General features: G+C 46.6%; 1 protein-coding gene and 2 pseudogenes across 1 annotated transcript, besides 2 other annotated features; 1 reads left to right on the forward strand and 2 right to left on the reverse strand.

Annotated features, from left to right (window-relative positions):
• Window positions 2,880-3,381: an enhancer, noted in NCBI's record as "H3K4me1 hESC enhancer chr12:56030513-56031014 (GRCh37/hg19 assembly coordinates)". NCBI's record gives its function as "activates a minimal SCP1, AML or CMV promoter by ChIP-STARR-seq in primed H9 embryonic stem cells {active_cell/tissue: H9 hESC(primed)}" and the evidence as "EXISTENCE:reporter gene assay evidence [ECO:0000049][PMID:30033119]".
• On the forward strand, window positions 3,043-3,984 carry OR10P1 (olfactory receptor family 10 subfamily P member 1). The gene has a single exon (NM_206899.1). The coding sequence runs from the start codon at window positions 3,043-3,045 to the stop codon at window positions 3,982-3,984; it is 942 nt and encodes a 313-aa protein (NP_996782.1).
• Window positions 12,328-12,787: an enhancer, noted in NCBI's record as "active region_6450". NCBI's record gives its function as "activates an Ori minimal core promoter by ATAC-STARR-seq in GM12878 lymphoblastoid cells {active_cell/tissue: GM12878}" and the evidence as "EXISTENCE:reporter gene assay evidence [ECO:0000049][PMID:35858748]".
• On the reverse strand, window positions 12,345-12,813 carry OR10AE3P (olfactory receptor family 10 subfamily AE member 3 pseudogene; annotated as a pseudogene).
• Window positions 20,685-21,385, reverse strand: PSMB3P1 (proteasome subunit beta 3 pseudogene 1; annotated as a pseudogene).

Genomic DNA, 21,788 nt, shown 5'->3' on the forward strand with positions numbered 1-21,788 from the left:
GCTTAGCCAATAATATTACTCTTAATTTACCCTAAGGGAATAAGCTAACAGAGCAAACTGAGACACACATGAAAATATTGTTTTCATCATTGTCTACCATAGCAAAAAAAAGATGGGACAGCGTAAAGTGCACAAGGATGAGAAGCGTTTGTTAAATGTTAGTGGAGAAATTCAATGGACTACTACAAGAATTTTTTTTGAAAGATTGTTCAGAATACCATGCGGTCTCATGGCAAAATGCTTACAGCAAACATTAAAAAAGGAAAAGAAGACATAAGGTATATACACTATGACTACAAGCATAGAATATGGGTTTGCAGTGGGACAAAGACTTGAGAGTGATATATGAGAAAAAAAGAATTTAAGGTGATGGAATAATGGTGGATTTATTCCAAATGTTTCCTAAATATTTTTAATTGAAAAAAACAACATTTTAAAAATTTGAAAACATCAGGATCTATTTCGTGTTTTCTTGGTGGTGTGGACATCTGAAAAGTTTTTTTTTCCTTTTTAATCAGCCAGCCCAAAATGTCATGAAGATTTATGGACGAAAGTAGAGAGGACTAATGAACTCAGATACTCCTTCTGTCCAAACTGACTACATGCAAGTTCATCTCCCAAAAGTGTAGAGTGAGGCTATTGGCCTCACAAGACATATAGTAAGTATGTGGTTGATACCTCAGGCTCAAAATTACAATTCTGGTTCTGCTGTTCACTGACTTTGTGATCTTGCATAGGTCGTTTAAACCCTCAGAGCTCTGGTTCTTTATCTGCAATGACAAAATAACAATTGTCACTAATGTTGTTATAAAGGTCAACTGATATACTGTATAATCCCCAGCACACAGCACTCTCCAAACATAAGCTAGAATAAATGGTTTAAGGCCACAAAAAAAAAAATATGTTGAGAGAGCAGAGTGAGGGTGGGATGAAAGTTAAGTGCAATGGATAGAACTTTGAGGCTCTGTTTCCTAAATATGAAGATGGCCAGACTAACCTCATGGCGTGGGTCAATATGGGTGATCAAAGCTCCGTGAATCTTGGGACCAGGACTTCTGAAAGTCCAGTCCAGTTTCCTGTCTTTGTCAAACTAGCTGCCTAAATTTAGGCAAATCACTTAATTGTTCTATTTATCAGTTCCTCTGTCTTTATAACTGAGATTCGTTCACTCATCTAATAAATGTTTAGCGAACACTCGACATGGTCCAAGTACTGAGCTTGTTTTTCTGGTGATTAACCTCTTTTTTTTTTTTTTTTTTTTTTTTGAGGCAGAGTCTCACTCTGTCGCCCAGGCTGGAGTGCAGTGGCACGATCTCGGCTCACTGCAAGCTCCACCTTCTGAGTTCACGTCATTCTACTGCCTCAGCCTCCTGAGTAGCTGGGACTACAGGCGCCCACCACCACGCCCAGCTTATTTTTTGTATTTTTAGTAGAGACGGGGTTTCACCGCGTTAGCCAAGATGGTCTCGATCTCCTGACCTCGTGATCCACCCACCTCAGCCTCCCAAAGTGCTGGGATTACAGGCGTGAGCCACTGCGCCTGGCCTTGGTTTTTTTTTTTTTCTTTTTTTTTTTTTTTTTTTTTTTTTGACTGGTGATTAACCTCCAAGGCAGTTGATAACTTGGTGGTTAAGATCACAGGCTCTGGGGTTAGGCAGACCTGGATTTGAACCCAAACTCTGTCACTTACAAAATGTGTGACATTGAGAAAGTTACTTAACACTGTCTGGGCTTCCCTCTCCTTATCTGTAAAATGGAGAAAATGAAGGTTTCTATGTCGTAGTGTAATTAGGAAGATCCAATGATTTAATGAATGTTTAGCCCTTAGCATGGTGCCTGGCAGGAACCAAGCACTTGGGAAACATTAGCAGCTGCTAAAATAGGTAACTGCCTCCCCACCTCCCCACCACGTCCTGCAGGATCTCACAGTGGAGTAATAAGTGCTAGGACAAAAGGACAAGCAACATCTCATGAAAGCAGAGATAAAAGTGCCTTCCTCAAATACTCAAGGGCTCTCTGGTGCAAGAGGAGTTAAATATTGTATGAAATACTAAGCATTTAGCCAAGACCAATACAGTAAAGTCTTTTCCTACAGGCAGAAGAGGCCATAGCTAGAAAGGGCTACCTCAATAGGTGGTGAGTTCCCCATCACTGCAGATGTTCAAACAGACTCTGCACAGCACCCTTCTAAAATGTTGAAGATAAGATCCAAGTACTGTCATATGGAAATATATGTTCCTAAATGTCACTTTTAATCTTGAAATGCCATGGATAATTATTTCTGAGCCTGAGGATCACAGAAAGCTGCCACCGAGATAGCGAAACTTGAGTGAAGGCTTGAAGTGTGATGGGATTTTAATATGAAGAATAGAAATATCCTCTGAAAGGAGACACTATGGCAATGCATGGAGGCCTGACAGAACAGGGTGTGCTGGGACAGAACAGCTAGTGTAGCTGATCACAGGGCCCCAGATAAGAGGAGAACAGAGAAATCAGGGAAGGTGTCAGAATCCCAATGATACCATTGGGCAGTATTATCACAAATAGTCATATCACTGTGTGACACTCTTAACCCACAGCTCACTATGGTGAACATTAGACACCAGTTCGGGACAGTCCCTGGTGCTACCCAGTTTCTTTTGTGCCTCAGCATCCATCTAGAGAGTACAAAGGGGCCTAGGTCATAGCAGCTGCTTCACCCCTCACTCTGGAGAGAGATCCAAAGATCAGAGCTAGAGTCTTTACATATGAGAGTCAGGCCCCAGACACAGGACGAGAGCCCAGGAAACAGTGAGAAAGGCGTCGAATTTGGAGTCAAGAGACCTGGATTCAAGTTCCAGGCCTGCCACTTTCTAGATATTACCTCAGACACATTATTTAATCTCTCTGAGACCCATGGCTCATTCAGAGAAAGGTATTAATTCTCTCACTTGATTTTGAGAGGAACTGTGTGGCAAGTGCTTTACCAAATTACAGAAATGTTGCTTGTTATTTCTAAATAACTTCTCTTCTTGGCTGTGCCTCAGCTTCTGGCCTGGAGTGATGGCTGGGGAAAACCATACTACACTGCCTGAATTCCTCCTTCTGGGATTCTCTGACCTCAAGGCCCTGCAGGGCCCCCTGTTCTGGGTGGTGCTTCTGGTCTACCTGGTCACCTTGCTGGGTAACTCCCTGATCATCCTCCTCACACAGGTCAGCCCTGCCCTGCACTCCCCCATGTACTTCTTCCTGCGCCAACTCTCAGTGGTGGAGCTCTTCTACACCACTGACATCGTGCCCAGGACCCTGGCCAATCTGGGCTCCCCGCATCCCCAGGCCATCTCTTTCCAGGGCTGTGCAGCCCAGATGTACGTCTTCATTGTCCTGGGCATCTCGGAGTGCTGCCTGCTCACGGCCATGGCCTATGACCGATATGTTGCCATCTGCCAGCCCCTACGCTATTCCACCCTCTTGAGCCCACGGGCCTGCATGGCCATGGTGGGTACCTCCTGGCTCACAGGCATCATCACGGCCACCACCCATGCCTCCCTCATCTTCTCTCTACCTTTTCGCAGCCACCCGATCATCCCGCACTTTCTCTGTGACATCCTGCCAGTACTGAGGCTGGCAAGTGCTGGGAAGCACAGGAGCGAGATCTCCGTGATGACAGCCACCATAGTCTTCATTATGATCCCCTTCTCTCTGATTGTCACCTCTTACATCCGCATCCTGGGTGCCATCCTAGCAATGGCCTCCACCCAGAGCCGCCGCAAGGTCTTCTCCACCTGCTCCTCCCATCTGCTCGTGGTCTCTCTCTTCTTTGGAACAGCCAGCATCACCTACATCCGGCCGCAGGCAGGCTCCTCTGTTACCACAGACCGCGTCCTCAGTCTCTTCTACACAGTCATCACACCCATGCTCAACCCCATCATCTACACCCTTCGGAACAAGGACGTGAGGAGGGCCCTGCGACACTTGGTGAAGAGGCAGCGCCCCTCACCCTGAAGGGACTCGGATGTCTGCTCACTCACTCAGTGCTCATCCTCCCACTCTTCAGGGACTGGATTTAAACCCCACTCTCACAGAAATCATGCAGCACCTCAAAGGAAAAGGCTTCCTGGAAGAAAGTGCTGAAATTAAAACAGAGATAAATCTACATATTGCCTCTTATCCCAGAGTCCACACTCACTATCAGAGCATGGGTTATTAGGTCAAGGTAGAATGAAAGTGATTGCTGCCCTAGGGAAAGGACATTTATTTAGCATCTTCTAGATTGTTCTGGATCCCTGAGCACAGTGATTGCCATGGCTGCACCGGTAGCCAGAGGTCCATGTCAGTCATGAAAGCAGGTGTCTGTGAACTTGACATCCAACTAAGTGGCCCACCCAAAGCCTGTGGAGGAGTTTACCTAGCCCCTCTGTTACATTTTCTTCCACCACCTGTGTCTGAGCTTTCCTCTACTCAGTGGAACATCTGTTCTCCCCTTGGCCTTCAGGAAGAGGGGCATCTGAGGGTTCCAGTCATAAGGCTCTCTCCTTCCCAAGATACCAGCACAAAAGGGAAGATGGTCAGATGGTATCAAAAAGGACCAAGTTAAACATCAGGAAAAGTTATCTCCCAGGACAGCCTATACATGTCTCCCAGAAACACACTGGGGTGTCCTACTGTGGGTGCTTTTGGGAAAGAGCTGGTCAGGGATTCCAGAAGACCCACCAGCTTGAGAGGCAGGATCCAGAGCTGGAGCTAACCAGGGAGCCAGAAGCAAGACAAGGTGGAAGGAAAACACTCCCATCCCTCTGTGCTGAGGTGCCACCGGCTGCCCACTTCCCTCAGCCCAGGGACAGATGTTTCTCCTGCTTTATTCCCTGGAGCCCCCCATAGCTAAAGGGCAGCAGAAGGCCGAGGCAAAAAGACAGGCTGTTCCACGTCCCCTCTATTCCCTCACCTCTCACACATCATTACCACCTTTGTGTCCTCTAGCCAAGAAATGCCAGAAACTCTGGCTTTCAGTGAGGAGAGACCTCAACATTTCATCAATAACATGAGCTGTTCAGGAAATGATGGGAACCCAGTCTTCCCTCTTACCACCCCTGTGATCTTCAAGGAGTCCTTATCCCTCACAGAGGCTCTGCTCTTGTGCGAAGGAGTATTCAGCCATGGGAATCAGTGTGTTCTTCTGTAGCCCAGCCTCTGCACCCACTTCTTTCTTTTCTTTTTTCTTTTTTTTTTTTTTTTTTTGATGAAGTTTTGCTCTTGTCGCCCAGGCTGCAGTGCAAAGACGCAGTCTCGGCTCACTGCAACCTCCACCACCTCCCAGGTTTAAGCAATTCTCCTGCCTCAGCTTCCCAAGTAGCTGAGATTACAGGCACGCCCGGCTAATTCTGTATTTTCAGTAGAGATGGGGTTTCACTATGTTGGCCAGGCTGGTCTAGAACTCCTGACCTCAGATGATCCAGTCAAAATAAGTCTCATGAAGTTGTTCTCATTCCTAGAAATAGAGAGTAGAATGGTGGTTACCAGAGCCTGGAGAAGGAAGTGGGGAAGGGGACATAGGGAGGGATTGGTCAGTGGATACAAAGGTACGTTTAGAAGGAATAAGTTCTAGTGTTCTATGGCACCATAGGGTGACCTCAGGTAACAATATTGTATTGTAGATTTCAAAATAGCTAGAATAGAGAATTTTGAATGTTTTCACCACAAAGAAATGATAAAGGCATAAGGTAATTATAAATTTAGAAAGGGAGATTTCTTTTTTTTTTTTTTTCTAAGACAGGGTCTCACTTTGTCACCCAGGCTGGAATGCAGTGGTATGATCTTGGCTCACTGCAACCTCAGCCTCCCTGGTTCAAGTGATCCTCCAGCCTCAGCTTCCCAAGTAGCTGGGACTACAGGCACATGCTGCCATACCAGCTAATTTTGGGGTTTTTTTGTCTGTTTTTGTTTTTTTGTAGAAACGGGGCTTCACCATGTGGCCCAGGCTAGTTTCGAACTCCTGAGCTCAAGTGATCCATCCACCTTGGCCTCCCAAAGTGCTAGGATTACAGGCGTGAGCCACCGCCCCCAGCAGGAGGCTTTATTTCTTAAAAACTGTTACAGCATGTAAGGTGGCCATTCTAACAGGCTGGGAAGCATAGGCTCCAGCCAAAGCCCAAAAGGCAGGCACTTCGAGGGAGAGGCAGGTGGAACAGGGATTTATGTGCTAAGCAGGTTGGCCAGGTGTACACATTCAGTAGGTTACGGGAGGAGCTAGGAATATTCCTGAAGGTGGTCCTAACATGTAGGTGCTAAATAAACATATATGTAGCATATGACCCATGTTCACCTTGGGGTGCAAACTTAACATTTACGTGCATTACAATTTAGACCCTTACATCAAAAGGTGAAGCAGAGACACAAAGGCATTCAAGTGTGCAGCCTCTGTAAACTGGCCAGAAGCAGCCCCTGGGCAGTGGTCTTCTTATCAGGAGAAAGTTACTGAAATCAATCATTTGGCCAATCAAAGCTGTAGTTATGGCTTGTGGAACAGGGGAGTCAGCCAGTAAGTGTCTGGTGGTGGAGGAGCTACAACTGTTTTGCTATTGCTTATCTCGAAGCCAGAGCTTGTTTAGCTGCTAGAGAAAAAGGAAAACCTTGTGGCAGTTAGAACATAGTTTATTCTTTAAGTGTAGGAATGTGTGACTTAACCTTTGCCTGGCATGGCCTTAAGTCCTGTTCATAATTTGATATATTATTGCCACAAAGAGTCTATTCTGTCAATCTCATGACCTCTATTTTAACATTAATGCTGGTCAATTGTTGTGTCTAAACCATAGAAGAGAGGAGGTACAATAAAGTGTGTCTGACCTTCTATTCCATCTTCTAGATTGTTCTGGATCCCTGAGCACAGTGATTGCCATGGCTGCACCGGTAGCCAGAGGTCCATGTCAGTCATGAAAGCAGCCATCATGGCTGAGGACTCCGTTTTTAAGGTTTCTCAGTGGGTGGGGGGCGTGGGATTTCATCTTTAGTTTACAATATGCTAAATATCTTGATTTACTTATTACACAAGTGTATACATGTATTAAAACATCACAGTGTACCCCACAAATATGTACAATTATTATGTATCAATTAAAATAATAGGCCAGGTGCAGTGGCTCATGCCTGTAATCCCAGCACTTTGGAAGGCCAAGGCAGGAGGATTGCTTAAGACTAAGAGTTTGAAATCAGCCTGGCCAACATAGCGAGACCCTGCCTCTATTTAGGTTTTTTTAATTAAAATAATAAAACAAAATAAATGTCATACTCCCTGCATTCACCACTATCACCCAGTTACAGACAGAGGATCCATACAAATTACAGGTCACTCCAAGCAGGGGCTCACCATTTGAAGGGAAAAGAGTACATGTGGCCAAAGGCAAGACAGCCTGAAAGAAAAACCAAAGAAGGCAAAAATGCTCTCTACAGTACCATGAGTAACTAAGGTCACTCCTCCACCTATGAAGAAGCAAGTCAGGGGCCAGAGAGGACGGCAGGAAGTGTTTCTACACTTGTTTCTCTCTGGGAGTGGAATAAAAAATCCCTTCACCTTGTGGAAAGCCTAAGGATCAGGGTAATTACTAGTGCTCCCACCTCCACTGGGTACAGACCATAAGGATGTTGTGGGCCACTTGAGAACTTGGGGGCTCATCCTCAGTGACAAGACCAGGTTTGAGTTTTTAAAAGATCACTCTAGCTGTGGTATGGAAAATAGGTAATAGAGGCACCAAAAAGAGACACAGAGACCACAAACCAGTCCATCAGTCAGGGCACTTAGTTGCAAACGACAGATTCCACTCTGATCATCTTAAGCAGAGACTAATTATTCAAAGAAGATTTCACAGTGCACAGCGTCTCCAAGGGGAACAGGTTTACCAGCCGTGTGGCCAGGGTGACACTCAGCACCCGCAAGGGCAGCTCCAGTGTCAACTCCACGGCACTGGCAGCACAGTTCACACAGCACTGCCCAGTGCCTACAGCTGGCTCTCGGGACGACAGGCCTGGGCTCTGCCAGATGCCTTCCCTACAAGCTCATTAGATGGTGAATTCTGCATCCTCCTCTGTAGAATCTGGAAAAGCAATTTACCTTGGGGAATGAAGACCAGTGAGGCATAAAACTTCCCAAACATTGAAAGGGTGTTCCAAAGGCACTGGACAGACAGAAAAAAAGACAAATGTCCCCCAGAGATGCCACTGCTGCAACCAGGATCCAGGTGGCCAAGACACTCTCTACTGAAAAGATAGAGAGATACGGTGCAGTGATCTGGAGCAGGCAGAACTTGGAGATGATTAGAATCTGAACAGGAAGCATGGAAAGACAGTCAAACCAGAATGAATAGTAATAAGAATAGGTAACATCACATACATGCTAGGTACCAAAGACTATACTAACCTCTTAACCTGTAACTGTCTTATTTAATCCCCATAAAAACTCTACGAGGTACAGATCTCAATTTTATGGGACCTAAAGCTCATACAATTTAAGACAGCTCTATTTAATAAAAAATATCCATGGCTACTTCAACACCCCCCAGAAGAAGAGGAAATGTGACAGAGAGGAAGCAAGAGTGAAAAAGACAGACATTACAACAGCCTGCAGTTAACACATCACTTCTGCAATTTATATAAGGACATTTGACCACAGGAACACAATTGCTAAGGCTCTTTCCACACCTTTATGAGGAACCCATACAAATGAAGAGCCCCAAAAGCTTAAGCTTGACAGTAGGTCCACCTGTAGGTCAACTCTATTGTTATGCCAATTTCAACCAGTTGAGGAAACCGAGGCACAGAGACATTAAACAACTTTCCCTAGGTAACACAGCTAGGAAATAACAGACTTGAGTTTCCAGCTCTAGAGCCCATGCTTTCAATTCTCCCTCCAAAAACGTGAGTTTAGAGAAAGTAGAAAGATGAGGGCAGCCAAGGAGCTAAGGAGCATAAACAGAGGCAAGAAAATGAGATCAGTGACACACGGTGTGGGGGGCGGGGACAGGAGAGCCTCCTCTGCTGGAAGCCACTTCCTCTCATCTGGACTGGGTATGCAAATCTTGAGAAAGAAAATGCAATTTTTCCCGTCTCATAAGCAGAGAAGATTCCAGAAGCCACTTGCTGTTGCCTGGCAGGGCACAAGGTCACCCTTCTTATCCTGCCTCAGGGTTACATCGGCTTTCTCGCTCTGCGCCACCAAATCCACAGGCACCTTCATCAGGTCACCACCCCGTAGAGCACCACACTGGTCCATTCTATTGATGAAACTACACTGACAGCATCTGGAGAGAGGAAAATGGCAGGTACCCTTGATGTACATTTATAACTAGGAGATAAATTTAGGGGCCTGGCCTCTCTGTGAAGGTTTTCTGGGGATATCAGGGTATCTCCTCAAATGTTACGGACAAGTTGCCTCACCTTTTGCTCCCTACAGTAAGAAAAGACCTCTTGTAGTTATCTGGATTTGGGAAGCGACATATAGTCCTTTTGGGTTGGCTGCTTCAACCCACTTATCGGATGTCCTAAAAGCCAGAGGAAGCAAATGCTCTCCCAGTGGCCCACGCTGCAGTTCCGCCACTGGGCCTCCCAACTGCCCAGCAGACTGTAAGAGGCTCAGTGTCAGTGGCACTGGAGCCTGCGGTAAATCCAAGAGGTGAATCACAGATTTGGGAGCCAAACCTTGCCCTTTGGGGCAAACAATCAAGATCCTTTTGTGAAACTGCTCTTGGGCTGCTTGTAGGCAACAGTATACACTGAACAGCTGACCACTGGACACCAGGTGACTATGGAACAGTATTGCACACCATGAATTGGGTGTAATTTGACCCACTCACCCTAAAGTTAAGTATCCCCAATAGCACTTAATAGACAAGTGAAATTGGTAAAATCAGATGGGGCCCAAGCACAGCCTGAAAACAAAAGGAGGTTGCATATACCTCATTCTCCAGCAAATCAATCTTTTTGGGGGGTATGGGGATGTGGGAGCAGGAGCTTGCTCTGTCGCCCAGGCTGGAGTGCAGTGGTAAAATCAAGGCTCATTGCAGCTTCGAACTCCTAGGCTCAAGTGATCCTCCCGCCTCAGCCACCCAAATAGCTAGGACCACAGGCACATGCCATGACCTCCAACTAATTTTTTATTTTTACTTTTGTAAAGATGAGGGCTCGCTATGTTACTCAGGCTGGTCTTGCACTCCTAGCCTCAAGTGATCCTCCCACCTTGGCCTTCCAAAATTGCTAGGATTACAGGTGTGGACCACTGAGCTTGGCCCCAGTTCATTCTTAATAGGCCTACAAATAGAAGGGTCATAATGGCAGGAAAGGAGGCCATCCATGAACTTAACAGGGTCTTCCCCCCAAGCTCTAAGTGGATAGAGCTTGTGGGGGACAAAGCTCTATCCACTTCTACAGAAGCCATTAGGCCCAAATTTGTGGATTCTCTAAACTCTGACAGCCGAGACACAGCCCTGTGATCTTAGCTAGTCCTAGCAGATGCAACTGCCTAAGACTTTGAATCAGGTGCAAGTGATTCAAAGAAGTAAAGTTTACAATTCATTTTGGTGATGACCACAGTGGCATCCAGGCCCACCAGCAGCAGCCTCAGCACCTGCACGGTGCCAGAGGAGTCACGGGCAACAGTGCCAGCAGTGCCTGCAGCATCCTAGCCAACCACCCCTGTGCTATGACCTGGCCTGTGGTTCTGGCCTCTCAGCTTCTTTTGGTACCTGATCATTGCCTAAGCCTGGTTTTCCAAGATTCCTCTCAACTCCTTGAGCTACCAGAGTCAGGTTTTCTCTAACCCAGAATTGTTCACCTGCTTCTTTCCTCCTCTTTCATGGCCCCTATGGCCCATCTGATCCTTTCTGAGTTATCCCCCTCATAGCTCACACCAGGATTTCCTCTTTTCCAAAAACTCTCTTCCCCAAATCCCACACACACTTCTCCCCTTCCTCTCTTCAGCATTAACACATTTTAAACTTTCCAGCAACTTTAGGGGGATTTTTTTAACAAAGTCTCAAACTTTTAAGACATCTAAAAACTGCTCTGAAAGTCATCATCAAAGTTCATAAGAAGGCAAATGATAGTAGTAGCAATTATAGTATAATCGAAATAGATTAGTGAACACTATTACCTACATGCACTGTGCTAAGCAGCTTTCATATATTCATTTACTTATCGATTCAGCAAATATTTCCTGAATACCTACTATGTGCCAGGCACTAGGGATACACTGGTAAACAAGACAGGCAGTTTCTTCCCTTCCCCCTTTATGGTACATCTCATTTTAATGAAAGGAGAGAAGCCACAAACAAACAAGTTAATTTATATGTCAAGTGATGATGTGGTATAGAATGGCTGAGGAAGGCTGTGTTTAATCCTCACAGCAACCCTGTGATACATAGAAACGATTATTGTCATGACTTTACAGATGCAGAATTTAAGGCACAAAGATGTAAAGAAAACTCCCACTATTTCAGATGGTAAGTGATGATCAGGATTTGATCTTGGACTTGCCAACCACCAGAGGCAAGCTCCAAACCACCCTGTCATAGTGCTATCTACAACCCAGCCTTCTGGTCAGCCTTCCTTAGCCAGCTCCTTATCCTCTACTCCTAGACTTTCCACTAAAAGAAAGAAATCTATTCTCTTCTTTGATGTCCCCTACTCCCAAGGACAGACATGGGCTTTTTGCTCCCTGGTATTCATAGTGTACTTCCAGTCCAAATATGTCCCACCCAGTCCTTGGTAAACTGAGGAAAAGTGAGTTTGTGTCTTCATTGGATCCTTTCTGCATCATAAGAATATTAAGTATCTATACCTTCCCCATTCTTCTCTTCCTTGCCACACTGTCTTCCACAATGGTTGAACTAATTTACACTCCCATCAGCAGTATACAAGTGTTCCTTTTTCTCCACAACCTCATTAGCATCTGTTTTGTTTTTGTTTTTTGCTTTTTAGTAATAGCCATTCTGACTGGTGTGAGGTGGTATCTCATTATGGTTTTGATTTGCGTTTCCCTAATGATCAGCGATGTTGAGCTTTTTTTCATAAGCTTGTTGACTGCATGTATGTCTTCTTTTGAAAAGTGTCTATTCATGTCTTTTGCCCACTTTTTAGTAGGATTGTTTGGTTTTTTTTCTTATAAATTTAAGTTCTTTTTTTTTTTGAGATGGAGTCTCACTCTGTTGCCCAGGCTGGAGTGCAGTGGTGCAATCTCGGCTCACTGCAAGCTCCGCCTCCCGGGTTCTCACCATTCTCCTGCCTCAGCCTCCCGAAGTTCTTTATATATGTTGGATATTAGACCTTTGTCAGATGCATAGTTTGCAAAAGTTAAGAAAATCAGTGTTATTTTAAAGGTCTCAGCACAGGCCGAGAATCCAGCCGGAAGTAGCGGGTGGTGCTGCGCCGCAGAAGGGCAAGGTGAAGGCGAAGCGGGCTCGGAAGACTAGGGCTCCTCAGGTAGTAGAATGCAGCGGCCGGCAGATGGCGTCACAGCGGCGGAGGCCATGGCCCTGCGCAAGCGCATTCGGCGATGCCAGGGAGGGCGAAGAAACCCAGCAGCGGGAAGCCGCCTACCGGTGGGCTAGTGCGGCGGGGGAAGGGAATCGGCCTGCATCCGAGACTCCGCCGCTGTGGCGTGGGACCTCCCCTAAGGAGAAGTGGTGCAGGAGGAAGTGCGTGGGCCAGCGCAGGCAGAGGCTGCCAGGGCGAGGACGACGATCAGGGAGTTGTCCAGCAGGGTCACCAGATGTTTGCAGAGCACTGCCCAAAACAGAAGGCCCCGGACGGAACCAAAACCTGAGAGCACCAACAAAACAAGCTCAGTCATGCTGTGCCATTGCCACCGCCATGTCCCCAAGGCCAGACTGGAGGACGGGGCCAGAGGAGGGCTCGTGCTGCCCCAGGAAGCATCCAGGCAAAGACAAAGGCCGCAGCAGGAAAGCTGTGGGAGAGGCCACAGGAACAGCCCAGCTCTCCTTCCCGCCCAGAAAACTCCTCTGAACAGGAAGATTAGCCAGGGGAGTTGAGGGAAAATGGCAGGACCTTCCTCAAGGCTGGGGACTTAACGGACACCAGGGTGGTTCCACTCACCCGAGTTCTGGGCTCTAGGAGCAAAGAGCTGGGACCAGCGGGACAGCTGCCTTTGAGAAAGTGGTTGAGAATATGGGCAGAAAAGTGGGTGAGCAGACAGAATAAAGCTGACAGGAGATCAGAAGAAAAATGGATCCACCATGAGGTGCAGAGTGAGTGGGAGTGAGAGCAAGAGTGAGAGAGAAGACAGGATCAAAGACCACGGATAAAGGCCTGGTGGGGCTTTACCTTCAGATGGGGCCCCTCCTGGGCAGCCCTCGCAGCACCTCAATCTCCCCAAGAGCCTAGTTCGCAGAGCAGAGAGTGGGGAGGGAAAGTAGGCAAGGCAAGATGAAGAAGGGGGAATAAAGTTTTGCCCAGGGACCAGGGAAAAGGAAGTGACTTTCTCCTGCCTCATCACTGTGCCTAAGCTCCTAGGTCTAGAGTCTCCATCCCAAACAGTGGAGAGACTACATGAGGAGGGGGCTGGGATTTATTTGCGGTCCGTCAGCAAGGCCTGAATGAAGCTGGGCTCAGAAACCAAGTGTTTCAATGCCTTGGCCGATTTCTATCTGCTAAACTGCCCAGTCCATTGCCCAAAGGGCTGCCTTCTGCCTTTGTGGCCCATGCGTAGAATTATTCCCTAGCTTAGCTGCCTTCTTCTTTTATATATATATAATTTTTTTTATGAGACTCTCTGACACCCAGGTTGGAGTGCAGTAACACAAACACAGCTCACTGCAACCTGAAACTCCTGGGCTTAAGCGATCCTCCCACTTCAGCCTCCCAAGTAGCTGACACTACAGCACACACAACCACATCTGGCTAATTCTGGAAAGCACTTTTTTTTTTAATTTTTTTAGTATTTATTGATCATTCTTGGGTGTTTCTCGGAGAGGGGGATTTGGCAGGGTCATAGGACAATAGTGGAGGGAAGGTCAGCAGATAAACATGTGAATAAACGTCTCTGGTTTTCCTAGGCAGAGGGCCCTGCGGCCTTCTGCAGTGCTTGTATCCCTGGGTACTTGAGATTAGGGAGTGGTGATGACTCTTAAGGAGCATGCTGCCTTCAAGCATCTGTTTAGCAAAGCACATCTTGCACCGCCCTTAATCCATTTAACCCTTAGTGGACACAGCACATGTTTCAGAGAGCACGGGGTTGGGGGTAAGGTTATAGATTAACAGCATCCCAAGGCAGAAGAATTTTTCTTAGTACAGAACAAAATGGAGTCTCCTATGTCTACTTCTTTCTACACAGACACAGTAACAATCTGATCTCTCTTTCTTTTCCCCACATTTCCCCCTTTTCTATTCGACAAAACCGCCATCGTCATCATGGCCCATTCTCAATGAGCTGTTGGGTACACCTCCCAGACGGGGTGGCGGCAGGGCAGAGGCACACCCCACCTCCCAGACGGGGCGGCGGCTGGGCGGGGGCTGCCCCCCACCTCCCCGACGGGGCGGCTGCCGGGCGGAGACGCTCCTCACTTCCCAGACTGGGCGGCTGCCGGGCGGAGGGGCTCCTCACTTCTCAGAGGGGGTGGCCGGTCAGAGACGCTCCTCACCTCCCAGACGGGGTGGCGGTGGGGCAGAGACACTCCTCAGTTCCCAGACGGGGTCGAGGCCTGGCAGAGGTGCTCTTCACATCTCAGATGGGGCGGCGGGGCAGAGGCGCTGCCCACATCCCAGACAATGGGCGGCCGGGCAGAGACGCTCCTCACTTCCTAGACGGGATGACGGCCGGGAAGAGGCGCTCCTCACTTCCCAGACTGGGTGGCCCGGCAGAGGGGCTCCTCACATCCCAGACGATGGGCGGCCAGGCAGAGACGCTCCTCACTTCCTAGATGGGGTGGCGGCCGGGCAGAGGCTGCAATCTCGGCACTTTGGGAGGCCAAGGCAGGCAGCTGGGAGGTGGAGGTTGTAGCGAGCCGAGATCACGCCACTGCACTCCAGCCTGGGCAACGTTGAGCACTGAGTGAGCGAGACTCTGTCTGCAATCCCGGCTCCTCGGGAGGCCGAGGCTGGCAGATCATTCGTGGTCAGGAGCTGGAGACCAGCCCGGCCAACACGGTGAAATCCCGTCTCCACCAAAAAATACGAAAACCAGTCAGGCGTGGCGGCGCGCGCCTGCAATCCCAGGCACTCAGCAGGCTGAGGCAGGAGAATCAGGCAGGGAGGTTGCAGTGAGTCGAGATGGCGGCAGTACAGTCCAGCCTCGGCTCGGCATCAGAGAGAGACCGTGCAGAGAGGGAGAGGGGTGAGGGGACAGGGGAGAGGGGAGAGGACTTTTTAAAAATCCTTTTGTAAAACAGTGCTAATCTTCAAAGAAAACCACTGAATGAGAAACAGGCCTGACTTGTGGGAGAACTTCGCAACCCAGCTGAGGGGTTCAGCCCACTCCCTAGCTGCTGCAAAAGATTTCAATATTGTCTGTCCTTTAGAAATAGGAAACATTTTCTTAGATCTGAGTTGGGGCAAATGACATCTACTGCAGCAGGGGATGACAGAGGTGACACAAAAGAAAGTATTTCTCAAGCACTAATGGCTCAATGAATAAAAAATTGTAGGTCCTTAATATGTGATATGGTTTGGCTGTGTCCCCACCCAAATCTCATCTTGAATTGTGGTTCCCATAATCTCCACGTGTGGTGGGAGGGACCCAATGGGAAGTAATTGAATCATGGAGGTGGTTTCCCTCATGCTGTTCTCATGATAGTAAGTTCTCACAAGATCTGATGGTTTTATAAGGGGCTTCCCAATTCACTCGGTTCTCATTCTCTCTCCTGCCACCATGTGAAGAAGGATGTGTTTGTTTCCCCTTCTGCCATGATTGTAAGTTTCCTGAGGCCTCCCCAGTCATGCCGAACTGTGAGTCAAACCTCTTTCCTTTATAAATTACCCAGTCTTGGATATGTCTTTATTAGCAGTGTGAGAACAGACTAATACAGTAAATTGGTACCACACAGAGTGGAGCACTGCTGTAAAGATACCCAAAAATGTGGAAGCAATTTTGGAACTGGGTAACAGGCAGAGGTTGGAGCAGTTTGGAGGGCTCAGAAGAAAAATGGAAAATGTGGGAAAGTCTGGAACTTCCTAGAGACTTGCAGAATGGCTTTGACCAAAATGCTGATAGTGATATGAACAATTAAGTCCAGGCTGAGGTGGTCTCAGATGGTGATATGGTTTTGTTCCTGGACCAAACTGAGGGTCGAGCTGCTATTTCTCGTGGCCCAATAATGAGATGCAGAGGAACTGGGGAGCAAGAGAGTTTTTATTTCTGTAGCCAGCTACTGGGAGAAGGCCTGGAAATTATCACCAGACCAACTCAAAATTACAAAGTTTTCCAGAGCTTACATGCCTTCTAAGCTGTATGTCTACATGTAAGTGTATATTTATCTAAACACATAAGTGATTAACTTCTTTTAATCTATAACTAAGATCTGAGTCCTGAAGACCTTTCTCTGGAGCCTCAGTAAATTTACTTAATCTAAATGGGTCAAGGTGCTGGGGTGATTACCCTTATCTTGTCTCCCACTAAATCATGGAGGTTTGGGGAGTTCCTTCAGACCCCCAATAAACTTGTTTGTGGAGGCCTGGGGAGTTTCTTCAGACCCACAATAAAACTTGTTTAATCCTAAATGGGTCCTGTTAAGAATTCCTGTTATTTTGTCATGCATTAAGGCCCAAGAAAGGCGTAGGCAAAACTCTTGACGGGCTACTGTTACATCCCAGCCTTTGTATAAGGGCACTGGCTTTTAATATTTAACTTAACCACTCAGTCAGTACTGAAACAGTTGTTATGGAGGCCTGCATTAGTGAGACCTGGCCTGCCACAGTTTGGCTGTGTCCCCACCCAATCTCATTTTGAATTGTAGTTCCCATAATCCCCACATGTTGTGGGAGGGACCTGGGGGGAAGTAATTGAAACACGAGGGCAGTTACCCCCATGCTGCTGTTCTCATGATAGTGAGTGAGTTCTCACAAGATGTGATGGTTTTATAAGTGGCTCTTCCCCCTTTTGCTCATCACTTCTCCTTTCTGCCATCATGTAAAGAAGGACATGTTTGCTTCCCCTTCCACCATGATTATAAGTTTCCTGAGGCCTCCCCAGCCACGTGGAACTGTGAGTCAATTAAACCTCTCTCCTTTATAAATTACCCAGTCTTAGTCATTTATAGCAGCATGAGAACAGACTAATACAGATGGAGATAAGGAACTTGTTGGGAACCCGGAGTAAAGGGCACTCTTGCTTTGCAAACAGACTGGCGGCATTTTGCTGTGGAACTTTGAACTAGAGAGAGATGTTTTAGGGTACCTGGCAGAAAAAAATCTCTAAAGCAGCAAAGCATTCAAGAGGTGACATGGCATAAAAGTTTGGAAAATGTGCAGCCTGACAATGCAGTAGAAAAGAAAACCCCATTTTCTGGGTAGAAGTTCAAGCCAGCTGCAGAAATTTGCATAAGTAATGGGGAGTCAAATGCTAATCGCTAAGACAGTGGGGAAAATACCTCCAGGGCATGTCAGAGATTTTCACAGCAGCCCCTCCCATCACAGGGCCGCAGGCCTAGGAGGAAAAAAAATGGTTTCTTGGGTTGGGTCCAGGGCCCCGTGGCTATGTGCAGCCTCAGGACTTGGTGCCCTGTGTCCCAGCTGCTCCAACCATGGCTGGGGCCGAGGTACAGCTCAGGCCATGGCTTCAGAGGGTGCAAGCCCCAAGTCTTGGCAGTTTCCACTTGGTGTTGAGCCTGCGGGTGCACAGAAGTCAAGAACTGAGGTTTGGGAGCCTCCACCTAGATTTCAGAGGATGTATGGAAATGCCTGGATGCCCAGGCAGAAGTTTACTGCAGGGGCAGAGCTCTCATAGAGAATCTCTGCTACAGCAGTGCAGAAGAGAAATGTGAGTTGGAGCCCACACACAGATTCCCCACTGGGGCACTGTCTAGTGGAGCTGTGAGAAAAAGACCACCGTCCTCCAGACACCAAGATGGTAGACCCACTGACAGCTTTTCCACCCTTGCACCTGGAAAAGCCACAGACACTCAACACCAGCCATTAAAACAGCTGGGAGGGGGGCTGTACCCTGCAAAGCCATGGGGATGGAGCTACCCAAGGCCATGGGAGCCCACCTCTTGCATCAGTGTGACCTGGATGTGAGACATAAAGTCAAAGGAGATCATTTTGGAAATTTGAGGCTTAGTGACTGCCCTATTGGATTTCAGACTTGCATGGGTCCTGTAGCCCCTTTGTTTTGGCCAATTTCTCCCATTTGGAATGGGTGTGTTTACTCAATGACTGTACCCCCATTTATCTAGGAAGTAACTAACTTGCTTTTGATTTTACAGGCTCATAGGCAGAAAGGACTTGCCTTGTCTCAGATAAGACTTTGGACTTGGACTTTTGGGTTAATGCTGAAATGAGCCAAGACTTTGGGGGTCTGTTGGAAAGGCATGATTGTGTTTTGGAATGTGAGGGCATGAGATTTGGGAGGGGCCAGGGTGGAAAAATATTGTTTGGCCATATCCCCACCCAAATCTCATCTGGAATTGTAGTTCCCATAATCACCACGTGCGGAGGGAGGGACCTGGTGGGAGGTAATTTGAATCATGGGGGCGATTTCCCCCATGCTATTCTCATGATAGTGAGTAAGTTCTCACAAGATCTGGTGGTTTTATAAGGGGATTCCCCCTTTACTCAGTGCTCATTCTCTCTCCTACCACCCTGTGAAGAGATGTCTTCCACCATGATTGTAAGTCTCCTGAGACCTCTGCAGGCATGCTGAACTGTGAGTGAATTAAACCTCTTTCCTTTATAAATTACCCAGTCTCAGGTATGTCTTTATTTTCAGCATGAGAACACAGTAATACATTATGTATGTCACTTAACCAAGAAAGAAGTTTTCTTCATTGTCACAGATTCATATCCTCATAGTGTTCTTTGGAGATACTTCTAATACAAGGCAGTCTCTTGTTTGTTTGGGTTATTTTTCTTTTTTAGGTTGCAAAAGTGTGTTAAAAACTCCAAAAAATATGTAAATATGTAATATATAAATAATATATAAATAAAATATGTAAAAATATGTAAATATAAAAAAGTGTAGGTAGCTTGCCCTCAAGGAGGGAAGACATAACCCCCTACTCCTTAAGTGTGGGCTACAGATAGTGACTTTCTAGACAGGAAAGGAAAAGAACAACTTTACCATACAGCAACCTGACAAACACACCACCTCAGGCAGGTGACTGTGGTCAACATTGACAGTGACAGCCCTTTATAAAACCACCAGATCTTGTGAGAACTTACTATCATGAGAATAGCATGGGGGAACCGCCCCCATGATTCAATTACCTCCCACGGGGTCCCTCCCACCACACGTGGTGATTATGGGAACTACAATTCAAGATAAGATTTGGGTGGGGACACAGCCAAACCATATCATTCCACCCCAGCCCCTCCCAAATCTCATGTACTCACATTTCCTCTATGGCCTTCCTCCCAAAATCCATAACCCCAGACTAATCATGATAAAAACATCAGATAAAGTGGAATAACAGGGCCAGGTGCGGTGGCTCACGCCTGTAATCCCAGCACTTTGGGAGGCCAAGGTGGGTGGATCACGAGGTCAGGAGATCAAGACCATCCTGGCTAACATGGTGAAACCCCATCTCTACTAAAAATACAAAAAAATTAGCCGGGCGTGGTGGCGGGCCCCTGTAGTCCCAGCTACTCAGGAGGCTGAGGCAGGAGAATGGCGTGAACCCGGGAGGCAGAGTTTTCAGTGAGCCAAGATTGCGCCACTGCACTCCAGCCTGGGTGACAGAGTGAGACTCCATCTCAAAAAAAAAAGAAAACAAAATTTCAATAACAGTGCACCCTAAAAACACCTAACTACTCTACTCCTTGAAATTGTCAAGATCATCAAAAACAGGAAAGTCTGAGAAATTAGGAAGACATGACAACTGGATGTAATATGTTATCCTGGATGGAATCCTGAAACAAAAAAAAAAGACATTAAATGAAAACGAAGAAAATCTGACTAAAGTACAGACTTGAATTAATAATAATGTATCAATATTGGTTCATTAATTGTGACAAATGTACCTACTAATTTAAGACAATAATAAAGGAAACTGGGTGTGGAGTATATGGGAATCACATGTACTATCTTAGCAATTTTTCTATAAATTCACAACTATTCTAAAACGAAATGTTATTCTTTAAACGTTTTTTGACATAGAAGTTTATAATGTATTGCTAAATGATAAAAAAGATTAAAAATATTAAATTTTCAATAAAATATGTATTCAGATCAATACATGACAGATAGATATATATACATCTGGATAAAATATGTATCTAGATGTATAAAATATATGTATTCAGATCAATAGATAATAGATAAATAGACACATACATACCAAAGTATTAACAATGATAAGCTCTAAGTGGAATGGATTTGGGTGTTCATTATGTTGTTTTGGTTTTATATTTTTATATTTGAGATCCACTAATCATACAATAGGAAAAAATAGTGTATAAAACATTTAAACAAAATGATAGAATGTTTTATTTTGATTTTTTTAAGAAAGGATATATACATATATATATATTTGTTTGTTTTGTTTTGTTTTTTTAAGTGGGCTCTGGGAACAGGGTTAGTCCATTAGGGCCTTCAGTGTCCTGGTGGTGATTTTGTCCTTCTCAGTGATGTGGACAATGACTCCCATGCCTGACACGGCATCCCGGTCCACAGCATTCAGCATGGCTTGGAAGATGGTTTCAAACAGCTGTTCTGGATCCATGTTGCACTCCCAGAGGGACTCGCACATTTCATATATTTGTTCTGCACAGGTGCCACTGACCATAAAGTCTTCAGTCACCATGGGTCAGCCAATGAGCTCTAGAGAGCAAATAAAGGGCTTAAAGGTCTTCAGGTCCAACCCAGCAATGACTGGCTCAGTATAGTAGGGGCCAAACGTTTCTCAGACAAGAGGCCTTGGCCACCATGCTCATAGGGTATAAGATTTGACTGCCGACCTTCCTTCAACTCACACAGGTTCAGCCGGAACTTGAGGCACTGGACAACTGTCTCGATGTCAGTGACGAGCCGGGCCAGATGGATATACAGCCGGTCACCCATGGGAAAGATCTGGAAGTCCGTGGTAACCATTTGGGCCTGGATCCCGAAGCGCCTGTCTGCAGCTATAGCCAAACAGCTCTTCTCCTTCATGGCCATGACGGCCCCTCGGTTATGGGACATAATAAACATAATTGTGGTATACTAGCAACCCTCCATCACCAGCGCAATTCCGGTAAACTGGGTCTAGCCTTCCCTTATTTTGACATTTTTAACGCCTATTTTTAACCAATTGTGCCTACTTTACGCCTTTAGAAATGTTTTATCAATAGTTTTATTTTGTAGTCCGCGTGTGGTGGCTCACGCCTGTAATCCCAGCACTTTGAGAGGCCTAGGTGGGAGGACGGCTTGAGCCCAGGAGTTCAAAACCAGCCTGAGCGCCGGGCGCGGTGGCTCACGCCTGTAATCCCAGCGCTTTGGGAGGCTAAGGCAGGCGGATCACGAGGTCAGGAGATTGAGACCATCCTGGCTAACACGGTGAAACCCCGTCTCTACTAAATATACGAAAAAAAAAATTCGCCGGGCGTGGTGGCGGGCTCCTGTAGTCCTAGCTCCTCGGGAGGCTGAGGCAGGAGAATGGTGTGAACCTGGGAGGTGAAGC

The sequence above is a fragment of the Homo sapiens genome, chromosome 12 (genome assembly GCF_000001405.40).
Source record: "Homo sapiens chromosome 12, GRCh38.p14 Primary Assembly".
Lineage (NCBI taxonomy): Eukaryota > Metazoa > Chordata > Mammalia > Primates > Hominidae > Homo > Homo sapiens.

What these genes read in the sequence shown, in the direction of transcription:
- OR10P1 (NM_206899.1), top strand. Translation starts at nt 3,043, where the DNA reads ATGGCTGGGGAAAACCATACTACACTGCCTGAATTCCTCCTTCTGGGA.